At 53.1% G+C, this 8,925-nt stretch overlaps 1 protein-coding gene across 6 annotated transcripts, besides 5 other annotated features; it reads left to right on the top strand.

Moving 5' to 3' along the window:
• Positions 2,066-2,475: a silencer, noted in NCBI's record as "silent region_3421". NCBI's record gives its function as "represses an Ori minimal core promoter by ATAC-STARR-seq in GM12878 lymphoblastoid cells {active_cell/tissue: GM12878}" and the evidence as "EXISTENCE:reporter gene assay evidence [ECO:0000049][PMID:35858748]".
• Positions 2,066-2,937: a biological region, named in NCBI's record as "H3K27ac hESC enhancer GRCh37_chr11:62388711-62389304".
• On the top strand, positions 2,190-8,880 carry B3GAT3 (beta-1,3-glucuronyltransferase 3). 6 transcript variants are annotated; one of them, NM_001288721.2, is made up of 6 exons: positions 2,190-2,310; positions 2,883-3,121; positions 3,505-3,679; positions 6,829-7,189; positions 7,380-7,670; positions 8,377-8,880. In NM_001288721.2, the coding sequence occupies exons 2-6, from the start codon at positions 3,061-3,063 to the stop codon at positions 8,473-8,475; spliced, it is 987 nt and encodes a 328-aa protein (NP_001275650.1). In that variant the 5' UTR covers positions 2,190-2,310; positions 2,883-3,060; the 3' UTR covers positions 8,476-8,880. The 6 variants fall into 6 exon arrangements, 5 of the variants coding, with proteins under 5 accessions (NP_001275650.1, NP_036332.2, NP_001275651.1 ...); NR_109991.2 differs by lacking the exon at positions 2,883-3,121 and having other exon boundaries at positions 2,190-2,300; NM_012200.4 differs by lacking the exon at positions 2,883-3,121.
• Positions 2,344-2,937: an enhancer, noted in NCBI's record as "H3K27ac hESC enhancer chr11:62388711-62389304 (GRCh37/hg19 assembly coordinates)". NCBI's record gives its function as "activates a minimal SCP1, AML or CMV promoter by ChIP-STARR-seq in naive H9 embryonic stem cells {active_cell/tissue: H9 hESC(naive)}" and the evidence as "EXISTENCE:reporter gene assay evidence [ECO:0000049][PMID:30033119]".
• Positions 6,529-7,029: an enhancer, noted in NCBI's record as "H3K4me1 hESC enhancer chr11:62384619-62385119 (GRCh37/hg19 assembly coordinates)". NCBI's record gives its function as "activates a minimal SCP1, AML or CMV promoter by ChIP-STARR-seq in primed H9 embryonic stem cells {active_cell/tissue: H9 hESC(primed)}" and the evidence as "EXISTENCE:reporter gene assay evidence [ECO:0000049][PMID:30033119]".
• Positions 7,030-7,530: an enhancer, noted in NCBI's record as "H3K4me1 hESC enhancer chr11:62384118-62384618 (GRCh37/hg19 assembly coordinates)". NCBI's record gives its function as "activates a minimal SCP1, AML or CMV promoter by ChIP-STARR-seq in primed H9 embryonic stem cells {active_cell/tissue: H9 hESC(primed)}" and the evidence as "EXISTENCE:reporter gene assay evidence [ECO:0000049][PMID:30033119]".

Genomic DNA, 8,925 nt, shown 5'->3' with positions numbered 1-8,925 from the left:
CGTGAGGCACCATGCCTGGCCATGGGCCTTACATTTTCATTTGGCTTCAGCATAAGCATCCTTTTTGGGTTTTTTTTTTTTTTTTTTGAGATGGAGTCTCACTGTTGCCCAGGCTGGAGTGCAATGGTGTGATCTCGGCTCACTACAACCTCTGCCTCCCAGGTTCAAGCGATTCTCTTGCCTCAGCCCCCAAGTAGCTAGGACTACAGGCACCTGCTACCACGTCTGGCTGATTTTTGTATCTTTAGTAGAGATGGGGTTTCACCATGTTGTCTCGAACTCCTGGCCTCAAGTGATCCACCTGCCTCGGCCTTCCAAAGTGCTGGGATTACAGGGATGAGCCACTGTTCCCGGCCAGCATGAGCATCCTTGATTTCAGCAAAATGAGCAAGTGCAAGCCTTCCTTGGGTTGCTAGATATTTTCGTAGAAGAGCCCAGCAAGATCATCACATTTTAGTAGGCCTAGTTAGTAAGTGGTGATCAGAGCCAATGGAGTCCCTCTTGGATAGAAATAGCCATAAGGTCAGATAGCTGTTTCTCAAACTAAACTTTTGGAGGATGTCGGGGGTTGAGGAGACATAGTTTCGCTCTATTGCTCAGGCTGGAGTGCGGGGAGTGCTGTGGTATGATCCTGGCTCATTGCAGCCTTGACCTCCCAGGCTTCTAAAGTTCTGGGATTACAGGCATCGATCACTGTGCCCAACCTAGAGGCTTCTGCTTGTAGCTAACAGCACTTTTGTTTTTGTTTTTGTTTTTGAGACGGAGTCTCCCTCAGTCGCCCAGGCTGGAGTGCAGTGGTGCGATCTCGGCTCTTGGCAAGCTCTGCTTCCCGGGTTCACGCCATTCTCCTGCCTCAGCCTCCTGAGTAGCTGGGACTGCAGGCGCCCGCCACTACACCCTGCTAATTTTTTTGTGTTTTTTAGTAGAGACGGGGTTTCACCGTGTTAGCCAGGATGGTCTCGATCTCCTGACCTCGTGATCCGCCTGTCTCGGCCTCCCAAAGTGCTGGGATTACAGGCGTGAGCCACCGCGCCCAGCTGCTAACAGCACTTTTTAAAGTTTCCCATTGTTTTAGTGACAGGAAGTATACTGTTCCCCCTTCCCCTCATTTTGTAGACTGACCACAAGTCAGAGATTATTTTACCAGAAACTTTTTTTGGGGGGTTATTTTTTTTTTGAGACGGTCTCACCCAGTCACCCAAGCTGGAGTGCAGTGGCATGATCACGGCTCACCACAGCCTCAGCCTCCCATGTCAGCCTCCCAAGTAGCTGGGACTGTAGGCCCGCGCCATCACACCCAGCTAATTTTTGTGTTTTTTTTGTAGAGACGGGGTTTTGCCTTGTTGCCCAGGCTGATCTGAAACTCCTGGGCTTCTAAAGTGCCAGGATTACAGGCATGAGCCACTGGGCCGGGCCCTTTTTTTTTTTTTTAAAGGAAAAATGAGAAGGATGGCTTGTGCTTGTGAGGAGGAAGGGGATGCATTCATGGAATTCCCCAGCTCAGGAACTATTTCCAATCAATTTCCTGGTAGTTAAAACACTTCCTTGGCACCCCTGTTGTCATCTGTTGAAGAAATGTGGGCCAGAGGACACACTAGAGATGCTGGAATCGGGTGTCCAGAAAGGACACAAAACTGCCCTGTGGCAATGACATAATTTTTGTCAACTTTGGTTTCTTATCTATCTCAAAGTATTATAGTGAGGATTCCAGGAGAGACACCCAGAGGATCATGTGGTGGGCCTTAGATTTCATTCGTGTAATAAGTATTGAGCAACAGCTATTGGGTGGCGTGACTGACTGGATGGATGAATAAGGTGAAGATCTGGGCGCCAGGACTGGCTTTCTCAGGCAATTCCGTGATGAGGGGGCGGGTCTCGAGGTAGGTACCACGTGCACCTACTCGAGATTCTGCACCTACCCGGGGTTTTGACTGCCGGCCACGCGAGTTTGGCACGCCGGATGTGACGTCACCACCCGGTGGTTCCCGGAACCTGGCGGTGGGACCGGAAATCAAGTCTACAAGGCGGGGGGGTGCACAGATGACCGGAAGCGTGCCCTGGCGGCGCTGCCAGCCCCAGCTGGGAGCTGGTAGGGGAGTGCGAGGAAGGCGGGACGCAGGGCGGAGCCGCTGCAGGGGCGGGGCCTGCGGACAGGAGCCGGGGTTTGGGGCGGGAACCCCTCGTCCCCTGCAGACCCCGCCTGCTCGGGCGCGGGCGGCGGCGCGGCCATGAAGCTGAAGCTGAAGAACGTGTTTCTCGCCTACTTCCTGGTGTCGATCGCCGGCCTCCTCTACGCGCTGGTACAGCTCGGTGAGCGGGGCGGGGCGGGGGTGCGGCGGGCTGGCCCGAGGGCGCCCGCCGCCGTGCATCCCGCCCTGGGGATGAACCCCCGGCAAACACCATTCATCCGCTCGGCCCTCCGGACAGCTCTGCGGCCTCAGGCGCACTGCCCTCTATAGAACGCACCGCGGCTACCCGCCGCACCTCGGATGAAATCCAGACTCCTTCCCAGAGCCTGCAAGGCCCCGCATGATCCTGCTGCCGTCCGCCTCTCCCAACCCCATTTCCACCCCTCTCCCTCGCTCTGCTGCAGCCAGACTGGCTTGCTGACAGTTTCTCGAAAACCCCACGCTCATTACTCTCTCAAGCACTTAACTTGTTCCCTCTGCTTGGGGTGCTTTGCTTCCAGCGTTTCCCGGGCTGCCTCTTTCTCATCCTTCAGGTCTTAGCTCAAATGTCACCTCCTCAGAGAGGCCTTCCCTGACCACCATAGCTAAAGTTACCATTCTTAATTCCATTCCCTTTTATTCTCTATCCTGATTATTTTCTTCATGGCCCCATCACAGTTTGTAATAATGTTATTAATTTGTTTCTTTGCTTAGTGTCTGCTTCCTCCACTAAACAGAAAGCTCGATGAGGGCAGGGACTGTGTCTGTTTTGTTCCCTGCTGTATCCCCAGCACCTAAGGCAGTGCCTCCTAGGAAGAGTATTCAATAAATATTTATCCTACGATGGAATCAATGAATTTAACAATGAGTCTTTGGTCACCTAGCCAAGGGAATGGATCGAACCCTGCCCCTTATGCAAAGATTTAGGGACAGTGCCACTGCGTTATCCTCAGGTATTTGAAAGACTGTCCAAAAGGGGTTCCATAGTGTAATGGTTAGTTGGCACCTTGGACTCTGAAAAGACTGTCCTGTTTAAGGACATGAGCTTGTTAGAAGCCCAGAAGGCAAAATTAGGACCAGCAGGTAGAAAAGATGGAATCAGCTCAATATCCAACATAAAATTGTAACAATGGAATTTATTAAAGTTGGAGAGGGTCTGCTGCTTGAGGCAGTGAGTTTCCCACACGAGAGGTATAGAAAAGGCTACTAGGGAAGTCATAAGGTGATACCTGCATTGGTTAGGAATTAATGAGACGATTACGGCCCTTTGGGATGCTGAACATTCTGCGGTTCTCTGTCCCCACCTTCTTTCCCCATTAATGCTTCCTGGGACCAGGCCAGCCATGTGACTGCCTTCCTCCCCTGCGGGCAGCAGCCGAGCAGCTACGGCAGAAGGATCTGAGGATTTCCCAGCTGCAAGCGGAACTCCGACGGCCACCCCCTGCCCCTGCCCAGCCCCCTGAACCCGAGGCCCTGCCTACTATCTATGTTGTTACCCCCACCTATGCCAGGTATGGGCTCTGGTGCACTCAAGAGGTCTGCGTTGTCCAAGAAGTTGGAGTTGATGATGAGGAGTTTGGGGAGGCACTGGGCTAGGAGTTGTTCCTCAAACTAGAGCATGCCAAAGACAGGATAAATGAACCACATTTATACTCAAATATTTGTGGGAAAATAGTTCTTTTTCAGGCTGGGTGTGGTGGCTCACGCCTGTAATCCCAGCACTTTGGGAGGCCGAGGCGGGTGGATCACCTGAGGTCAGGAGTTCGAGACCAGCCTGGCCAACATGGCAAAACCCCGTCTCTACTAAAAATACAAAATTAGCCAGGCGTGGTGGCGCATGCCTATAATCCCAGCTACTGGGGAGGCTGAGGCAGGAGAATCCCTTGAACCTGAGAGGCGGAGGTTGCAGTGAGCTGAGAGTGCGCTATTGCACTCCAGCCTGGGCAACAAGAGTGAAACTCCATCTCAAAAACAAAACAAAACAAAAGAAAAAAGAAAAAAAATAGTTCTTTTTCTAGAAGGAAAATACAAAATTTCTACCAAATTATAAGATAGAACAATAACATTTCAAAGAAATTTTGAGCTTGGCAGTGAATTAACTCTCTCTCCTTAGGGACCGTTTGGCAAGAAAGTTAAAACCCCCTGATTAAAGTTGAAAGGGCTTGTCTGGGCGCAGTGGCTCACGCCTGTAATCCCAGCACTTTGGGAGCCCGAGGCTGGCGGATCGCCTGAGCTCAGGAGTTTGAGACCAGCCTGGGCAACATGGTGAAACTCTTGTCTCTGAAAAAAAAAAAAAAAAAAAAAAAAAGTTAGCTAGGCGTGATGGTGCATGCCTGTAATCTCAGCTACTCTGGAGGCTGAGGTGGGAAGATTGCTTGATCCTGGGCGGCGGAGGTTGCAGTGAGTGGAGATCATGCAGCCTGGGCGACAGAGAGAGCCCATTTCAAAAAAAAAAAAGTTGAAAGTGCTTGGCCTGATAGTCATACTAGGGTCCAGAAATAGTTATACCAGCTGTTACTTACAGTGTGTTTACTCTCTAGCAGGCACTGTATTTAGTGATTTACATTTGCTTTTGTTTTAAATCAAATGTAATTGGTTTTACTAATAAAACCAATTGGGGAATGTGGTTTTGGATCTGTAGCCATAAGGGTGTTAATACATCTTCTGGGAATCAGATGGCTGTCCCATTCACGCATAGGAAGCTCTAGACCCCACCTGCGACATGCACACACAACCAGCCCTGGGACAGGCAGGTAGATCTGAAGGATAAAGAAGTACAGAAGAGGCCAAGCCCCACGTTCCACATTCCTGGTTTGTTCCTTTTTTTTTTTTCTTCCCCCCGCCTCCCCGCAACACCGAGATGGAGTCTTGCTCTGTTGCCCAGGCTGGAGTGCAGTGGTGTGATCTTGGCTCACTGCAACCTCCACCTCCCGGGTTCAAGCGATTCTCCTGCCTCAGCCTCCCGAGTAGCTGGGATTACAGGCGTGCACCACCACACCAGGCTAATTTTTTTTTTTTTTTTCCCGAGATGGAGTCTCACTCTGTCGCCCAGGCTGGAGTGCAATGGCACGATCTCGGCTCACTGCAACCTCCACCTCCCGGATTGAAGCAATTCTCCTGCCTCAGCCCCCCGAGTAGCTGGGGTTACAAGCATGCGCCACCACACCCGGCTAATTTTTTGTATCTTTAGTAGAGATGGGGTTTCACCATGTTGGCCAGGCTGGTCTGGAACTCCTGACTTCGTGTTCCACCTGCTTCGGCCTCTCAAAGTGCTGGGATTACAGGTGTGAGCCACCATGCCTGGCCAGTAATTTTTTGTATTTTACTTTTGTATTTTTTTTTTTTTTGAGATGGAGTCTCGCTCTGTCATCTAGGCTGGGTGCAATGGCGTGATCTTGGCTCACTGCAAGCTCTGCCTCCCGGGTTCACGCCATTCTCCTGCCTCAGCCTCCCAAGTAGCTGGGACTACAGGTGCCCGCCACCACACCCAGCTAATTTTTTATATTTTTAGTAGAGATGGGGTTTCACCGTGTTAGCCAGGATGGTCTCGATCTCCTGACCTCATGATCCACCTGCCTCAGCTTCCCAAAGTGCTGGGATTACAGGTGTGAGCCACCATCCCCAGCTCTTATTTAATCTTTAAAACAACATTGTTATAAAGTACTGTTATTCCCATTTTACAGTTGAGGAAACTGAGGCTTAGGGAGATTGAGCCATTTTCCCAAATTGTCTCACATAATAAGTTACAAAACTGGATTTCAAACCCAGATCTACCTGATCCCAAAGCCTGTGCCCTTAATTTGTTTTTTTTTTTTTTTTTTTTTTTTTTTGAGACAGAGTTTCGCTCTTGTCGCTCAGGCTGGAGTGCAGTGGCACAATCTCGGCTCACTGCAACCTTCGCCTCCCGGGTTCAAGCGATTCTTCTGCCTCAGCCTCCCGAGTAGCTAGGATTACAGGTGACTGCCACCATGCCTGGGTAATTTTTTGTATTTTTAATAGAGACGGGGCTTCGCCATGTTGGGCAGGCTGGTCTCGAACTCCTAACCTCAGGTGATCCGCCCACCTCGGCCTCCTAAAGTGCTGGGATTATAGGCGTGAGCCAACATGCCCGGCCTTTTTTTTTTTTTTTTGAGATGGAGTTTTGCTGTTATCACTGAGGCTGGAGTGAAATGGTGCGATCTCAGCTCACTCCAACCTCCTCCTTCCAGGTTCAAGCGATTCTCCTGCCTCAGCCTCCCAAGTAGCTGAGATTACAGGCATGTGCCACTACACCCAGCAAATTTTTGTATTTTTTTAGTAGAGATGGGGTTTCACCATATTGGCCAGGCTGGTCTGGAACTCCAGACCTCAGGTAATTCACCTGCCTCAGCCTCCCAAAGTGTTATTATAGGTGTGAGCCACCATGCCCGGCCCTGTGCCCTTAATTTATAGTCTCCCACAGCCTGAGCTCTGGAGTTGAGGTGGGTGATGGACATGGACCAGAAGAACAGGGCAGGTGAGTGTTAGCATGAAGTTGACAGGCAAGAAAGAGGGAGTTTAGGCATTGGTTGGGAAGGGCCACAGGAGACGCAGGCAGTGGCCCAGGAGAAGCTGTCTGCCCTGGCTGGAGCAGGCAAATGGTGCCTGCCCCTTTTCCTTGTGCTGCATCTCTCCCCTGCAGGCTGGTACAGAAGGCAGAGCTGGTACGACTGTCCCAGACACTGAGCCTGGTGCCCCGGCTGCATTGGCTGCTGGTGGAGGATGCTGAGGGTCCCACCCCGCTGGTCTCAGGGCTGCTGGCTGCCTCTGGCCTCCTCTTCACACACCTGGTGGTCCTCACGCCCAAAGCCCAGCGGCTTCGGGAGGGCGAGCCTGGCTGGGTTCATCCCCGTGGTGTCGAGCAGCGGAACAAGGCCCTGGACTGGCTCCGGGGCAGAGGGGGTGCTGTGGGTGGGGAGAAGGACCCACCACCACCAGGGACCCAAGGAGTCGTCTACTTTGCTGACGATGACAACACCTACAGCCGGGAGCTGTTTGAGGAGGTGAGCACCAGGATGGGGATGGGCAAGAGACCAGGTGCGGCCAGCTTCATTCGTTACCTTGGTTAGCAGTGTTGCCGTTGGCTGCTGGGTGAGGGGCTGGAAGCAGTGGGGCAGAGTGAGCCAGGTGGCTCTTTCTGCTGCTCCCTTCCCCGGACCACCCCTCTGTTTCTTCTCTCCCGACCTCCGTTAGATGCGCTGGACCCGTGGTGTCTCAGTGTGGCCTGTGGGGCTGGTGGGCGGCCTGCGATTCGAGGGCCCTCAGGTACAGGACGGCCGGGTAGTGGGCTTCCACACAGCATGGGAGCCCAGCAGGCCCTTCCCTGTGGATATGGCTGGATTTGCCGTGGCCCTGCCCTTGCTGTTAGATAAGCCCAATGCCCAATTTGATTCCACCGCTCCCCGGGGCCACCTGGAGAGCAGTCTTCTGAGCCACCTTGTGGATCCCAAGGACCTGGAGCCACGGGCTGCCAACTGCACTCGGGTAAGGGAATGGAGATGGGCATAGAAACCTGGCTCTTGGATGGACAGGTGATGGGGGAGGTACAGTGAGACCCTGGGAATGGGTGGTTTAACCAGGAGGGACTCTCCAGATCTCTGATCAGCCTTGCTGACTCTACTGAAGGGGAAGCTGGGAACTAGCGGGGGAAAGTGGTCTCCTGCCACTCTGCCCCGAGTTCTGGGAACCCATGTGGCACAGAGAGGATGAAGGAATAAGGCCCTGTTTGTTGTTTTTTTTTTTTTTTCAGACAGAGTCTCGCTGTGTCACCCAGGCTGGAGTGCAGTAGCGCAATCTTGGCTTAGCGCAAGCTCCGCCTCCCGGGTTCACACCATTCTCCTGCCTCAGCCTCCCAAGTAGCTGGGACTACAGGCACCCGCTACCACGCCCGGCTAATTTTTTTGTGTTTTTAGTAGTGACGGGGTTTCACGGTGTTAGCCAGGATGGTCTCAATCTCCTGACCTCGTGATCCGCCTTCCTCGGCCTCCCAAAGTGCTGGGGTTACAGGCGTGAGCCACGCGCCCGGCCAAGGCCCGGTTTTAGAGGCACTAAGTCTTCCTCCACCCTGCCCTTTACACTTTGAAGCCTATACTGTATATGTCGATAGGGTTAGAGAATCCATTCCAGGCTCGGGGACCCAGAGGCCTGGCTGCAGCTGGGCCTGGCTCTCACTGCATCCCTCCTGGCACAGGTACTGGTGTGGCATACTCGGACAGAGAAGCCCAAGATGAAGCAGGAGGAGCAGCTGCAGCGGCAGGGCCGGGGCTCAGACCCAGCAATTGAGGTGTGATGGCGGCCCCACCCCAACTACCACCTCTTTTCAGGCACAGACCTTGTGGGACTGGGCCCCAGGCCTGCCCAGGATGTGGTTTTCCAAGTCCTGACCCTTGGAGCCAGAAGTGGCCCCTCTGCCCCTCCAGGCCCAGGGCATGGTCCTGCTGCTTCACCCCTCCCCTAGCCTGCCGTGTGGCACTGCCCACAGGCTGGGGACAAGCAGCCCTTGTGTTGAGTCAGGTTGGCCCTGTCTAGGGTGGAACAGAAGGACAGATGGACCCAGGAGGGAGGGCAGCTGAGTAACTGGGTAACTTATTGGGGCTGGGCATGCACTGGGGGGCTGGAGGAGCTGGGCTGGACCCTTCCCACCTGAGCATGCTGACCCCCTTCCTACCTCCAGAATAAAGAATCTCAACCTGGAGGGGCCTCTTGTTTTCCTTTGCTTCTTACATTGGGTTCTTGCTTT

The sequence above is a fragment of the Homo sapiens genome, chromosome 11 (assembly GCF_000001405.40).
Source record: "Homo sapiens chromosome 11, GRCh38.p14 Primary Assembly".
Taxonomy (NCBI): Eukaryota; Metazoa; Chordata; class Mammalia; order Primates; family Hominidae; genus Homo; species Homo sapiens.
The sequence above is the reverse complement of the archived record's forward strand: the minus strand, read 5'-3'. Positions and strand labels throughout refer to the sequence as shown.

What these genes read in the sequence shown, in the direction of transcription:
- B3GAT3 (NM_012200.4), top strand. Translation starts at nt 2,229, where the DNA reads ATGAAGCTGAAGCTGAAGAACGTGTTTCTCGCCTACTTCCTGGTGTCG. An exon ending in GTTACCCCCACCTATGCCAG is followed by an intron (nt 3,680 to 6,828) that starts GTATGGGCTCTG and finishes TCTCCCCTGCAG; the next exon opens with GCTGGTACAGAAGGCAGAGC. An exon ending in GGGCTGCCAACTGCACTCGG is followed by an intron (nt 7,671 to 8,376) that starts GTAAGGGAATGG and finishes CTCCTGGCACAG; the next exon opens with GTACTGGTGTGGCATACTCG.